The sequence below is a fragment of the Homo sapiens genome, chromosome 19 (genome assembly GCF_000001405.40).
Source record: "Homo sapiens chromosome 19, GRCh38.p14 Primary Assembly".
Classification (NCBI taxonomy): domain Eukaryota; kingdom Metazoa; phylum Chordata; class Mammalia; order Primates; family Hominidae; genus Homo; species Homo sapiens.
Genome location: NC_000019.10, coordinates 19,388,517 through 19,403,811, shown reverse-complemented (window position 1 = coordinate 19,403,811; position 15,295 = coordinate 19,388,517). Strand labels below are relative to the sequence as shown.

The 15,295-nt window shown below is 46.5% G+C and overlaps 1 protein-coding gene across 28 annotated transcripts in view, besides 2 other annotated features; it reads right to left on the bottom strand.

The window, feature by feature from the left end:
* Positions 1-15,295, bottom strand: part of GATAD2A (GATA zinc finger domain containing 2A) — a 123,090-nt gene that overhangs the window by 105,121 nt on the left and 2,674 nt on the right. The window lies entirely within an intron of this gene.
* Positions 7,970-8,823: an enhancer, noted in NCBI's record as "H3K27ac-H3K4me1 hESC enhancer chr19:19505798-19506651 (GRCh37/hg19 assembly coordinates)". NCBI's record gives its function as "activates a minimal SCP1, AML or CMV promoter by ChIP-STARR-seq in naive H9 embryonic stem cells {active_cell/tissue: H9 hESC(naive)}" and the evidence as "EXISTENCE:reporter gene assay evidence [ECO:0000049][PMID:30033119]".
* Positions 8,845-8,934: an enhancer, noted in NCBI's record as "active region_14350". NCBI's record gives its function as "activates an Ori minimal core promoter by ATAC-STARR-seq in GM12878 lymphoblastoid cells {active_cell/tissue: GM12878}" and the evidence as "EXISTENCE:reporter gene assay evidence [ECO:0000049][PMID:35858748]".

Below are 15,295 nucleotides of genomic sequence, written 5' to 3'. Positions count from 1 at the left end.
CTGTATATTTTAAGAACTGCTTCATGCTACGATCATTAATCAGATGATGTATATTAAAGCAATACAAGCAAACTATTACCTCACTGCTCCTCACCTGGGTCTTGATTAATGTCAATTTAATTAACTACAAACAGAGCAAAGTGTGGTCAGGTGGGAGACCTGACACTTGAGACAGATATACAGATTCCAGAGTTTGAGCCAGCAAGCCCTGTGTGAGTCACCAGGGTGACAACCACCCCTTTTTTTTTTTAAGAGGGAGGCATCAACTGCAACACATTAATGACACACCCCTGTGGAGTGAGGGGTGCACTGGTGACAGGGCCTGCTCCAGAGGGCAGTGCCAACTTCTCAGCCAGGAAAGTCGGACGGGGAGTAGGAGGGGTGCAGGGTATGTAGGTGGGGTGAAATAGCTACAGGGTTTATTTCTGTCTGTCATAGGAAGACAGGGTCAGATGGGTAGATGGTAAGTGACAGTGAATCCAGATCTGCTTGGGGTCCCATAGGCTCAGGTTGGGTGAATGCTGAGGCTGTTTGGATTAAAGATCTTTTAGCCTCAGTGCCCAGTGCTGGACTAAACAGCAAATAGTTCAGCTGGGTGATTATGAAATATGATGCAATCACCTTCAGATGCCATACTAAAGCTGAAGAAACTCTAATTAAGAAACAACTAGGGCTAGAACCATGTTTTCTAAAAGTTTTCTCTCTGATCTGAAAACAAAGACAGTCAATACTTAGTGCTGGCAGGGCACAGTGGCTCACGTCTGTAATCCCAGAACTTTGGGAGGCCGAGGCATGTGGATCACCTGAGGTCAGGAGTTCCAGACCATCGTGGTCAACACAGTGAAACCTCATCTCTACTAAAAATACAAAAATTAGCCAGACATGGTGGTGCACGCCTGTAATCCCAGCTACTTAGAAGACTGAGGCAGGAGAATCGCTGAACCCAAGAGGCGGAGGTTGCAGTGAGCCAAGATCGCGCTATTACGCTACAGCCTGGCCGACAGAGCCAGAATCCATCTCAAAAAAAAAAAAAAATCAAAAAAACAAAAACAAAAAAAAAAAACCCTTAGTGATAGCCGTTGTTAATTAATACTGTACTTTCTTTTTTTCTTTTTTTTTTTAATGAGACAGAGTCTTGCTCTGTCACCAGGCTGGAGTGTAGTGGCGCGATCTCGGATCACTGCAACCTCCACCTCCCAGGCTCAAGAGATTCTCCTGTCTCAGCCTCTTGAGTAGCTGGGACTACAGGCATGCGCCACCATGCCCAGCTAATTGTTTTGTATTTTTAGTAGAGATAAGGTTTCACCATGTTGGCCAGGATGGTCTCAATCTCTTGACCTCATGATCCACCTGCCTCGGCCTCCCAAAGTGCTGGGATTACAGGCGTGAGCCACTGTGCCCGGCCCAATACTGTACTTTCAAAACACCTGTTATTTAGTTAAAATTTTCTTCCAGGCCGGGCACAGTGGCTCATACCTGTAATCCCAGCACTTTGGGAGGCCAAGGTGAGAGGATTGCTTGAGGCCAAGAATTTGAAACCAGCCGGGTCGACATGGTAAGACCCCATCTCTATAAAAAAGAAAAAATTAGCCCAGCCTGGTGGCACATGCCTGTAGCCCCAGCTACTCAGGAGGCTGGGGCAGAAGGATCACTCAAGCCCAGGAGTTTGAGGCTGCAGTGAACCATGATTGTGCCACTGCACTCTAGCCTAGGTGACAGAGTGCAACCCTGTCTCAAAACAACAACAATAACAAAAAACTTCCAAATTCATTTTAAACTTTATTGTCTTTCATAGACCAAACCCCACTAATAATAGCTAGGCCTCCTTCTACCTTAACTACAGCAAAAATAGACTAATGGTCTTTCGAGTGTACTCTTAAACTTCTAAACACCACCTGAGCCTGTCCCTATACAACTGAGGGACTGAGAAGAAATTGGGGCCAAATTCCATGTTTATGTCTGCTTTTATGGCAGAAATTGGCCAAAGGCTCCAAACTAGTATGAAACTACTGAAAAAGAGTAGCATCACCTACTGAATGTTCAAGGTACTGTCCTTTTTCTTTTCCTTTTTTTTGGTACTTTTTCAATCAGAAAATTTATTTGAAGTTCTTGGTGGACAACATACAAGATGACTTATGTGATAAACACTGATCGACAACTGAGAGACCACTCCTCCCAAGGATTTTGGAGCCCAAGAAGCCTACAGGCACATACTCCCGAAGCTGACAGGCTGGTGCCACTGAAAGACACAAAATGATTTCAATGCAGAAAATGTATTCATAAGAAAGACTGAAGAATCAGCCGGGCGCAGTGGCTCGCACCTGTAATCCCAGCACTTTGGGAGGCCAAGGAGGGTGGATCACGAGATCAGGAGATCGAGACCATCCTGGCTAACACGGTGAAACCCTGTCTCTACTAAAAATACAAAAAATTAGCTGTGCATGGTGGCACGCGCCTGTAGTCCCAGCTACTCGGGAGGCTGAGGCAGGAGATTGGCGTGAACCCGGGAGGCGGAGCTTGCAGTGAGCCAAGAACATGCCACTGCACTCCAGCCTGTGCGACAGAAGGAGACTCCTTCTCAAAAAAAAAAAAAAAAAAAGCCAAGTTTTTTTTCTTTTAATCACCTTTATGAAAAACGAACACTGACTACTTTTTTTTTTTTTTTTTTTTTTGAGACAGAGTCTCGCTCGTTGCCCTAGGCTGGAGTGCAGTGGCATCATCTTGGCTCACTCCAACCTCCACCTTCTGGCGTCAAGCGATTCTTGTGCCGCAGCCTCTGGACTAGCTGACACGACAGGTGCGTGCTACCACACCAGCTAATTTTTGTATTTTTAGTAGAGACAGGGTTTCGCCATGTTAGCCAGGTTGGTCTCAAACTCCTAGCCTCAAGCAATCCTCTGCCTCCCAAAGTGCTGGGATTACAGGCAGGAGCCACCACATCGGGCCCTACTTTCTGTACTTTGCATTCTTAGTACTCTAAAGTTTAAAATTGTTTTCATTAAGTTTAGGGACAATATAACAACAATCTCTAAGGGAGGATCATTTTAAAGTTTCTTATTTCACCCCAAATCCATGTTTACATGGTGAGATTACAATGCAATTGGCTGGGAAAGGAAAAGAAAAGAAAAGAAAAGATTAATTATTAAGTGATTTTGATTTCCTTAATACTTTGATACTCCTGATTCTTTCTTCAGGGAGGGACCAGAAAATAGCTACAGGGACTCTTACAGTGATGCTTTATGAAAAATACAGTACTTCCAATGTATCACCACTGCTACAAGAATCATCTTTGCATTCACAACATTCTCACACTAGATCAAGAGTTTGTGGGACATGGGTCAGTAGCCCCCGTTGTCCCCATCACCATCGTTTATGCTGAAAAGCTCCCTGAAAAACAGCTCTCTAGGGATGGTCCACTTTGTCAACGTGTGTTTGTTTTGAATGTCGTCTCTAACCACAATTCGTTACACTCAGTGTTTCTGCAGCGCAGGGTTCAGGCTCCATCTGCAGTTAGGCAGGCTCTTTCCAGACTGAGTCTCTGTGTGGCCCTGGCACTGTCCTGCTATTCCAGGGTTCTGAGCACAAATGCTCCCCTAAAGGGTTAAGCACAAACTGCTCAGAAGTGCTGTTGTGAACCGGAAGTGTATCTCCCACTCTGTCTTCATCTGCCATGTGTCACTAGTTGGCAAGGAATATCTCTTTTGTGTCTACATATGGTTTAAAAAAATTCCCACCTAATTTGGATGGAAGTAAACTGTTTTCTATGAATTAAAGATTAAAAAAAAAAAATCAGAAAACTACCAGGAAAAACAAAAAGGCTATATGACAGCCTCGAGTCTGGAAATCAGCCTATTCAAACCCCCCAAGCAGGGAAGGAGTGTTAGTCACATGATCGGTCTAATAAATATCCTTAGTTGGACATGCAGAAAAACGTATTTTTAAAACTTGGCATCTATTTCACACCCTACTCCCCATTTGTTAAATGGCAGATCTGCCAACTTAGGAAAACATTCCTCCCAAATGTTTTCCTAACAGGATGTATACTCCCCAAACCCCCCATTTATAGTGAAATGCCCGTAATTTATTTAAAAAACACAGGTGGAGTGCCCTTCTAGTTTGTTCTCTCTTTCACAGCTTGATAATAACAACCATGCCCTCTCACATGCCCACGTAATCAGGTCTATATCTAACTAACTCCTGTTTTGGGAAGACTAAGATATTTATTTCAAATTTAGGTCAAAAAGGTAACCTTCAATAGAGACAATTTGAGAGGTTAAATATAAAGGCTAAAGTTTGAAAATGCAGTGAAAGTTTAAAAATTGGCTGGGCGAGGTGGCTCACACCTGTAAGCTCAGCACTTTGGGAGACCCAGGCGGGCAGATCACTTGAGCCCAGGAGTTCCAGACCAGCCTGGGCAACATGGCAAAACCCCGTCCCTACAAAAAAGAATACAAAAATTAGCAGGCTTGAGCCTGGGAGGTCAAGGCTGTAGTGAGCTGTGTCACTACTGCCACTGCGCTCCAGCGTGGGCAACAGAATGAGACCCTGTCTCAAAAAAAAAAAAAAGTAGGTTTTTGTTTGTTTGTTTGAGATGGAGCCTGGCTCTGTCATCCAGGCTGGAGTGTGGTGGCATGATCTCGGCTCACTGCAACCTCCACCTCTCAGGTTCAAGCAATTCTCATGCTTGAGCCTCCCAAGTAGCTGAGATTACAGGCGTGGGCCACCATGCCTGGCAATTTTTTGCTTTTTTTTTGAGACGGAGTCTCACTCTGTCGCCCAGGCTGGAGGGCAGTGGCGTGATCTCAGCTCACCGCAACCCCTGCTGCCCGGGTTCAAGCGATTCTCCTGCCTCAGCCTCCCAAGTAGCTGGGATTACAGGCGCCCGCCACTGTGCCCAGCTAATTTTTGTAGTTTTAGTAGAGACAGGGTTTCACCATGTTGGCCAGGCTGGTCTTAAACTCCTGACCTGGTTATCCACCCGCCTTGGCCTCCCAAAGTGCTGGGATTACAGGCGTGAGCCACCACGCCTGGCCTAATTTTTGTATTTTAGTAGAGACGGGGTTTCACCATGTTGGTGAACTCCTGACCTCAGGTGATCCACCCACCTCAGCCTCCCAAAATGTTGGGATTACAGGCGTGAGCCACCACACCCAGCCGAAAGTAAGTTTAAATTGTTCTAGGCCGGGCACAGTGTCTCATGCCTGTAATCCCAGCACTTTGGGAGGCCAAGGTGGGAGAAGTCCTTGAGCCCAGAAGTTTGAGACCAGCCTGGGCAACACAGTGAGACAAAAGTTAAAAAATAAAATTAGCTGGCCGGGCATGGTGGCTCACGCCTGTAATCCCAGCACTTTGGGAGGCCGAGGCAAGCGGATCGCCTGAGGTCAGGAGTTGGAAACCAGCCTGGCCAACATGAAACCCCGTCTCTACTAAAAATGCAAAAATTAGCTGGGCGTGGTAGTGCATGCCTGTAATCTCAGCTACTCGGGAGGCTGAGGCAGGAGAATTGCTTGAACCCGGGAGGCGGAGGTTGCGGTGACCCGAGATCACACCACTGCACTCCAGCCTGGGCAACAAGAGCGAGACTCCATCTCAAATAAATAAATAAATAAGGCGGTTAGCAGTGGGTCACGCCTGTAATCCCTGCACTTTGGGAGGCTGCAGCAGCCAGATCACCTGAGGTCAGGAGTTCGAGACCAGCCTGACCAACATGGAGAAACCCCATCTCTACTAAAAATACAAAATTAGCCGAGCCTGGTGGCGCATGCCTGTAATCCCAGCTACTCAGGAAGCTGAGGCAGGAAAATTGCTTGAACCCAGAAGGCGAAGGTTGTGGTGAGCCGAGATCACGCCACTGCACTCCAGCATGGGCAACAAGAGCAAAACTCTGTCTCAACTAATTAACTAACTAACTAACTAAATAAAATTAGCCTGGCATGATAGCATGCGCCTGTAGTCCTAGTTATCTGGGTGCTGAGGCAAGGGGATGGCTTGGGCCTAAGAGTTCAAAGCTGCAGTAATGCCAGTGTACTCCAGCCTGGGCAACGGAGTGCGACTCTGTCTCAAAAAAAACAAAAAACTGTTCTGATGTATTAAGAATTTTAGACCAGCTTAAATGATAACAATTCTCAAAGGAAAAAGGTCAGAAGCAGCCCTGAAGTCTGTTCTCTTGAAGCTCCTTTGGAGGTTAAAGTCTACATATACAGTATACCATTACAGAGTCTAGATGGCTGATTTCACTGGCCATCATTGCTTCCTGATTGAAAATGTTTATTGAAAGCTCAATTTAAGGCCCGGTACGGAGGCTCATGCCTGTAATCCCAACACTTTGGTAGGCTAAGGCAGGCAGATCGCCTGAGGTCGGGAGTTCGAGACCAGCCTGACCATCATGGAGAAACCCCATCTCTACTAAAAATATATAATTAGCCTCATTACACATTACTCATTCTCCTGCTGAGGCAGGAGAATCGCTTGAACCCAGGAGGCGGAGGTTGCGGTAAGCTGAGATCACGCCATTGCACTCCAGCCTGGGCAACAAGAGCGAAACTCCGTCTCAAAAAAAATAAAAGCTCAATTTAAATACTATTTTGAGTTTAATCTTGGATCCTACTATAGCACATTTTAACTTTCTACCTTTGGAAGCAATTTTGGACTTTTCTTGCCAATGTGATCAGCTCAAACTCTGACTTTTAGAAGAGCATAACCTCCTCAGGTCAAGGGAACTCACTTGGCTGTTTTCAACTCCAGGTCTCTGCCTGTGCCCATGCTATGCCTCTTCTCAGAACACCTAGCCACTTAAGAAACCTAACGGCTGGGAGCAGTGGCTCACGCCTGTAATCCCACACTTTGGGATGCTGAGTTGGGCAGATTACGAGGTCAGGAGTTTGAGACCAGCCTGGCCAACATGGTGAAACCTCATCTCTACCGAAAATACAAAAATTAGCCCTGCATGGTGGCAGGCGCCTGTAATCCCAGCTACTCGGGAGGCTGACGCAGAAGAATGGCTTGAACCCAGGAGGTGGAGGTTGCAATGAGCTGAGACTGCACCATTGCACTCCAGCCTGGGCAACATAGCGAGACTGTCTCAAAAAAAAGAAAGAAAGAAAGAAAAGAAAAAGAAACCTAACAAACAGGTCGCGCACAGTGGCTCATGCCTGAAATCCCAGCACTTTAAGAGGCCAAGGCAGGCAGATCACCTGAGCTCAAGGTTTGAGCCTTTTTCCCAATTACCCCATCATGTTTCCTGAGGCACTTCAAGTCCATATGGAGAGTACAGTAAGGTGAGGCTGTAGGGGTTAAAGCTACAATGAACTAAGGGATCTCAACTGGGAAAAATCAACCAAACTAGGAACTTCCAGATCACTGGCCTTCAGACATGCTCAGCCTATTGGCCCAGTGTCAACTGGTTTGTTCTTGGGCAGTATTAACATCCACAGATTGTTGTCCAACCTCAGGTGCCAACCTCAAGAGAAACGGTCAGCCTAAATATGATTTTTTTTTCAGACGGAGTTTCACTTTTGTTGCCCAGGCTGGAGTGCAGTGGCATGATCTCAGCTCACTGCAACCTCCGCCTTCCAGGTTCAAGCGATTCTCCTACCTCAACCTCCCTAGTAACTGGGATTAGAGGCGCCCACCACCCAGCTAATTCGTATTTTCAGTACAGACAGGGTTTCACTATGTTGGCCAGGCTGGTCTCAAACTCCTGACCTCAGGCGATCCACCCGCCTCAGCCTCCCAAAGTGCTGGGTTTACAGGTGTGAGCCACCGTGCCCGGCTCCTAAATATGATTCTTTAACAACTACCTTTACTAGGCATCTACAACAGTCTGGCCGCTTGCTGTATGCTTACAAACAAACCAGCCCACAAACGAGGATTTGAGTTTAATTTTGAGGAAACTGAGGCTCAGAAAGAGTAGGCCACTTGAAGTTAGGCTATTTTTCTAAGGTCACATGCCAGCAAGTGGTAGAATCAGGATCAAGCCCAAAGTTTTTTGGCTCTAAAGTTTCTATGGCACAGGGACTCCCACCGTACTTTTATAAAGCAAAAAGCTGTAAGTAACTGCAAACGATTCTTCAAGAACACACTCTTCCTGAAGGACCTATCTACTGTCGGATTCTTTAAGTTCCATACACACCTCCAGGCAGCTCTTGGTGCAGACAAGCTCCCGAGGGGAACACTGTGATAATATAACAAGAAACCATCTTTTTGGCCGCCCTGCCAGATAGGCCTCTGAGTTTGTGGGTGTATTAGTTGAGACCCCAAAACTGGCAAGTACAGGTCCACTGGTGGCTTCCAGCTCTGACAAAGCGGCTTACCAAGGAAAAGGGGTAACTTGAACATGTTTTCTATTTTTTTTTTTTGAGACGGAATCTCGCTCTGTTGCCCAGGCTGGAGTGCAGTGGCATGATCTCAGCTCATTGCAAACCCCGCCTCCTGGGTTCAAGTGATTCTCCTGCCTCAGCCTCCAGAGTACCTGGGATTACAGGCGTGCACCACCACACCTAGCTAGTTTTTACATTTTTAGTAGGGACGGGGTTTCGCCATGTTGGCCAGGCAGGTCTCAAACTCCTGGGCTCAAATGATCCGCCTGCCTCAGCCTCCCAAAGTGCTGGGATTACAGGCGTGAGCCACCGCGCCCGGCCTTGAACGTATTTTCTGTGCTCAACTTGGAGCCCAAGAACTCAGCCTGTAAGGAGGGAGAACAGGAAGTCAGGAGGGAGCAAGCATCCACTTCCCAAGGGCAGCAGAGCCCAGAGGTGGGAGCCTGGTCACATGCACAGTTGCATTACTTGTCCACGCCCACTTCCGGCCTGGGCCTGCCTCTCCACCTCCAGAGTCAGAACTTGGGTGGAAGGGAAAAAAAAAGACAACCAGAAACTCTCCTTCTAACACCCTCCCTCTTGCCCTCGAGGCTGTGCCCAAAATGAATATCCCGCCTTGCTCTCCAGCCCCACCTCTCACAGATACACTTACTTAAGAAAAGCACCTGTCAAATCTAAGACTTCCAGCCTTGCCCAACATAAAAAAGTCTAAACAGCACCTTCCCAGTCCCAGTGTAAGAGGAAAGCCTGGGCCGGGAGTGGTGGCTCACGCCTGTAATCCCAGCACTTTGGGAGACCGAGGTGGGTGAATTTTCTGAGCTCAGTTCAAGACCAGCCTGGGCAACACAGTGAAACCCCGTCTCTACTAAAATACAAAAAATTAGCCAGGCATGGCAGCATGCCGCCTGTAATCCCAGCTACTCAGGAGGCTGAGACAGGAGAATCGCTTGAACCTGGGAGGCAGAGGTTGCAGTGGGCCAAGATCACACTACTGCACTCCAACCTGGGCAACACAGCGAGACTCCATCTCAAAAAAAAAAAAAAAAAAGAGGAAAGCCCGGGCAGAGGGAAATCCATGCACCAAGAGTCTACCAATACATAACAAAGCAGTCATCTATTGGAAATCTCATTATTCCTAAACCACCACCAACACCCAGGCAGCCCCAGCTTGTCTGAATGTTTTTAAGATTTCAACAAGGGAAGGGCTTTTAGAGCGGTTTATCACTTAGTGTAATATGCATTGCCATGAAGAAATGCCACAGGATTCCAAAAACACGTCTCCACTGACTTCAAGAAAGGCAAACTTGGCCAGGCATGGTGGCTCACACCTGTAATCCCAGCACTTTGGGAGGCCTAGGCGGGAGGATTGCTTGAGCTCAGGAGTTCGAGACCACCCTGGGCAACATGGTGAAACCCCCATCTCTACTAAAACACAAAAAATTAGCCAGCCGTGGTGGCAGGTGCCTGTAATCCCAGCTACTCGGGAGGCTGAGGTAGGAGAATCACTTGAACCCAGGAGGTGGAGGTTGCAGTGAGCCAAGATCACGCCACTGCACTCCAGCCTGGGCGACAGAGCAAGACTGTCTCCAAAAAAAAAAAAAGAAACAAAGGCAAACCTGAAAATGCTCCCTGCCGTGACCATTCTAGTTTCTCTCGTTTCTCCAAGATTACAGCCACAGTGGTCATGAATCAACTATCGCCAACAATCAAGTAGGAAAATGCCATAATTTCTGTCTCCTTTTAGAGACAGGAAACAGGAGCCCAGTGAGGAAATTAAAGAGGTAGTGAGGTTTCACTTCTACACCTCCAAGAAACCCCACCTGAAGCTCCCAATGAGGGTAGCTGCAGCACTTAGGGATATTCTCAAGAAACCTCACAATGTTCTTTCATTCATTTGCTTGTTTATTTGTCTGCAACTAAGATGTAAGCTTCTGGAAGGCCAGCTGTGTCAGTCCTGCTCACTGCCAGACCCCCATCACCAAGCATGAAAATGTTTTATCTTAGGCATGAAAGTGTTTGTTCCTGAATTATTTGTTCGCATAGGAAGTTACATGGGCCAGAAGATTTAACACTTTCTAATTTTTAATGTAATGTAAATTGCACTAGAAAACACACATACACCATATCTTATGGCCACACAAGTAAAGCTCTTAAGTGTTCACTTGTCCCTTATAATTTTTTTTTTTTTACACGGAATCTCACTCTGTCACTCAGGCTGGAGTGCAGTGGCCCGACCTCAGCTCACTGCAAACTCTGCCTCTCACTCAGGTTCAAGCCATTCTTGTGCCTCAGCCTCCCGAGTAGCTGGGATTACAGGCATGTGCCACCACGCCCAGCTAATTTTTGGATTTTTAGTAGACAGGGTTTTGCCATTTTGGCCAGGCTGGTCTCAAACTCCTGATCTCAAGTGATCCCCTGCCTCAGCCTCCCAAAGTGCTAGGGTTACAGGCGTAAGCCACCGCACCTGGCCCCTTATAAGCCAATTTAAAAGAATAAACTGGCCAGGCACGGTGGCTCACGCCTGTAATCCCAACACTTTGGCAGTCCGAGGCAGGCAGTTCATAAGGTCAGGAGTTCAAGACCAGCCTGGCCAACATGGTGAAACCCTGTCTCTACTAAAAATACAAAAATCAGCTGAGCGCAGTGGTGCACACTTGTAATCCTAGCTACTGGGGAGGCTGAGGCAGAAGAATGGCTTGAACCCAGGAGGCAGAGGTTGCAGTGAGCCAAGATTGTGCCACTACACTCCAGGCTGGGTGACAGAGCAAGACTCTGCTCTGTTTCAAAAAAAAAAAAAAAAACTTGACCGGACGCAGTGGCTCACGCCTCTAATCCCAGCACTTTGGGAGGCTGAGGCAGGTGGATCACGAGGTCAGGGATTCGAGACCAGCTTGGCCAAGATGGTGAAACCCCGTCTCTACTAAAAATACAAAAATTAGCCAGGCATGGTGGTGGGTGCCTGTAATCCCAGCTACTCGGGTGGCTAAGACAGAGAATTGCTTGAACCCAGGAGGTGGAGGTTGCAGTGAGCCAAGATCGCACCACTGCACTCCAGCCTAGGTGACAGAGCGAGACTCTGTCTGGAAAAAAAAAAAAAAACACACACACAATAAACTTGGGCCAGGCACACACCTATAATCCCAACACTTTGGGAGGCCAAAGTGAGAGAATCACTTGAACTCAGGAGTTCAAGACCAGCCTGGGAAACATAGCGAGACCCTGTCTCTACAAAAATACAAAATTAGCCGGGCATGGTGGCGCATGCCTGTAGTCCCAGCTACTCAAGAGGCTGAGGTGGGAGGATCACTTGAGCCCGGAAGTCGAGGCTGCAGTGAACTGTGATTGCACCACTGCACTCCAGCCTGGGTGACAGAGCACAAGACTCTGTCTCAAAAAAAAAAAAAAAAAAAAAAAGGAAAAACTCTTATTCAAAAGACACACCAGTATAAACAAAGGCAGTCAAGTTTCTGAGAGGATGAAGTCAAACTTAAAACTAGAAATCAAAAATAACACCATCCATTCATTTGGATGGAACCACTTGACACAGTAGTTATTTCCCAATTCCAAAAGAGGTCAGCTTATTTCTTATCATCAAGATCCCACAGGGATTTAATGCCCCCAGTGCTGTCTCCAACAGGAAGGAAACCCTGACTTCCCTAGCTATTTCAGTTCCATAAATCAACAGTTTTTATCGTCCAGAGTTAGAAGCTGGGCAGTGTTTGGACCCACATGCCTTTTAGACCTGCCCACCAACAGATAACCACATTACATTACATCTAATAAATGTACCTAGATCAATATCATTTCTAACTATCCAAGGTTTTTTATTGCTGTAAGGATCCTTCAAGTAAAAAAAAACAAGTTTAAAAAACTTCCTGTTAGATAGAGACTTGGTGGTGGCCCCACCATCCACCAAAGTGAAGTCTGTGGTACACAAGAGACATAGCATAATTTTAAAGGGGAGAGTGATCCCTTTAAAGTTGTTTACCTTAGTTCTTATATTTTAAATATAATAAATTTTGCTCCTTTCCCATGTAATGGAATAACTGTCCTTAAAAGAATTGAAAGAAATTTAAGATTGGTGCATATTTCTTTGCTTCAATACCAAAGTCAGTGTGTGTCTATATATGTGTGCATGAAAGAGAGAAAGAAAGGAGGGAAGGAGGAAGAGAGAGGGTATATTTCCAGGAAGAAAACAAACAAAAAAACCCACAACCCTTTCTTCAAACATAGGAGCAGCCCACCAGGGGCCTAGTTCAGATTTTCACCCATTATTTCCTCCTGGGTTTTAGCCGTCAGGGGCAGAATGCCATCTATTCCCATACTAGTAAGTGAAGAAGGCTGGGCCTAATTCACCAGCCATGATTCTATGGCTTTTACTAATTGTTAAGAAAAAAATCCTCTCAAGAAAAAAATTTTGTAAAATGTCCTGTCCACTCCCCTCTATTCCACTGCCCCCCGACCCCTGCCCCAGCCTCTAAGCTGAGTTAGCATCTCCACAGCCCTCTGGGCCTTGGGAGCTTGAGGTGCATTCTGATCTCCTCGTGGGCACTAAGCCACACACTGGCCCTCTCAAAGTACTATTATTGTGTGGCGTCAAATGGCTTTGTACATCACTTTCCCAGTCTTTTGTCCCCAAATCTGATCTATTACAATGAAAGAATGGCTCTTCTTTCAAGGTTCTAAAGTGTAAGAACAGATCACTCACCAGGTAACTGCTGGACTCACTCACTCAAGCAGTCTCATAATACGCATGTGATCCCTTAGGCGTACATAGTTCATCTATTTTCTTCTTCCCACAATTCTTCAAGTCCATTATAATCTTCTATCTTGCCTGTGGTCTAATTAGAGTAATACATCTCCCTACTTGCCCTTAATTCACAAATTACCCCATTTTACAGGGGGAGACACCAAGGCCAAGAGAAACACAAATGCCCTGCCATACAGTAAACCCATCTCACATCTGGTATCAGAACACAGAAAACTCTTGCTAAGAGACGCAGTAGGGGAGTGGGTTTTCCAAGAGACATACCAAGTTTCTTTCTCTTTGGGCATTTTTAGCCTTGGCAGAATATCAAGCGCTTCCTGGTCTGTGAGTCCAGGCCAGGAATACAACAAGCAGCCTTTACTGCACACCAACTGTGTGCCAGGAGCTGTGCTGTCCACCTCCAGTTCATCATCTCGGATTCATTCATTCATCCATCTAGTAAGCACCTCCCATCATCAGTAAGCAACTTGACACACACATTCACAGCAATGTGTTCCCTCGAATATTTAATAACATGCCAATTTTGTGCCATCACTTGTCCAAGGCCACATAACTAAGAAGGGCAGCACCAGAATCTGAACTGGCTCCTTCTGACTTCAAAGTTGTCCATTCCCTTTTTAACATCCCATCTGCTGGTCCTATAGGTTTTATTTAAAATAATAGGTCGGTCACAGTGGCTCACGCCTGTAATCCCAACACCTTGGGAGGCTGAGGCGGGCAGATCACTTGAGCTCAGGAGTTTGAGACTAGCCTGGGCAACATGGTGAGACCTCGTCTCTACCAAAAATACAAAAATATAGCCGGGCGTGGTGGCATGCGCCTGTGGTCCCAGCTACTTCAGAGGCTGAGGTGGGAGGATCACGTGAGCCAGTAGGGCAGAGGTTGCAGTGAGCCGAGATCGCACCACTGCACTCCCGCCTGAGTGACAAAGTGAGACCCTGTCTCAAAAAAATAAAATAAAATAGTAAATACGTGCAGGCACTTCTCTACCCTCACCTCAGGCACTTCTCTACCCTCATCTCAGTCCCAAACTCCCCTCCAACTTTCCCTTCCCCTGAGGGCAGTGCCTACAGCTGACCAGGAAGAGGCAGGAGAAGAGCAACCAAGTCTGCAGCAGCCTCCTGCCTGGACTTGACTTAGCCCAGCAGCAGAGGGCCCAGGAAAGTCTCCAAGCACTTCTCCCCAGAAGAAAATAGCTCGAGTTGAAACTTGTGTCCACATGGTCCACCGACAGATTTAGAACTCAAATTATAGCCTCGGCAGGAGTCTTCACAAAGGACTCAAATTAAGCAAGACCCAGATGGAAATGAACAGGAGAGAGACTGCCCTCAGTCAAACTGTAAAGTGAACTGCAGTTCCAATGGAGTCAGAGGGAAGAACTTGTTGAAATGCTAAACCAAACACTAGCGCAGCCTATACTTCAGAACTCTACTTCAGTCAAACTCTCCCCACATTTTTAGCTTGAGACTTGTGCGTGGACACGAAGTGGTTACAAGTTACTCAGGTTTCAAACTGAGTTCATTCCTGTCCTTTGGACCATCTCTCAATGCCAGCATTCATCTACTTGGGCTCCACAGAGCTCTGCATTTGGCAAAGCAGATAAAATTAGCTACTGGAGTGAACTTGGAATCCAGGGTGGGCCATTAAAAAAAGTACATATGAGATTTGTAAACGCCACGTAAAAAGTTCCTTTTGGGCCAGGCCAAAGTCACCTAAAACTTACAGAAATGTCGTCAAATCCTGTCCCTTGCCTCCCTTCCCCTGTTTCTGGATCTAAGGTGATCCATTTCCTGCTTCTTGCTCTGTCTTTCAAACCAAACTGGCCTACGAACTAGGGATCCTATTTGATCAAGGATTGAATCAGGGGGTCTCGGGAGAGAAAATGCAACAGGAAGAGATGAAGGAGAGTTTTCTTTTCCTTTTTATTTTGATTTTTTTTCAGCACGGGGAGGGAAGGTTAAGTTATACTATGCAGGGGGAGGACTGAGGGATGGGACAGGAAGTGGGTCACTCCCACAGCTTGACAGTGTGATAATGGGGATACAATGTTTCTCCCTTGTCCCTTTTGTCTTCACAAAGGCCTGACAACACTGTGATGGCCTCACGGCTGGAAAATGGAGTAACTAAGGTGGTCATCTAGTAGCAGCTCCTGCTCCCCCAAATCTAGCAGGTCTTAGAGGGACATGAGGAAATCATGCTTTTTGACTTT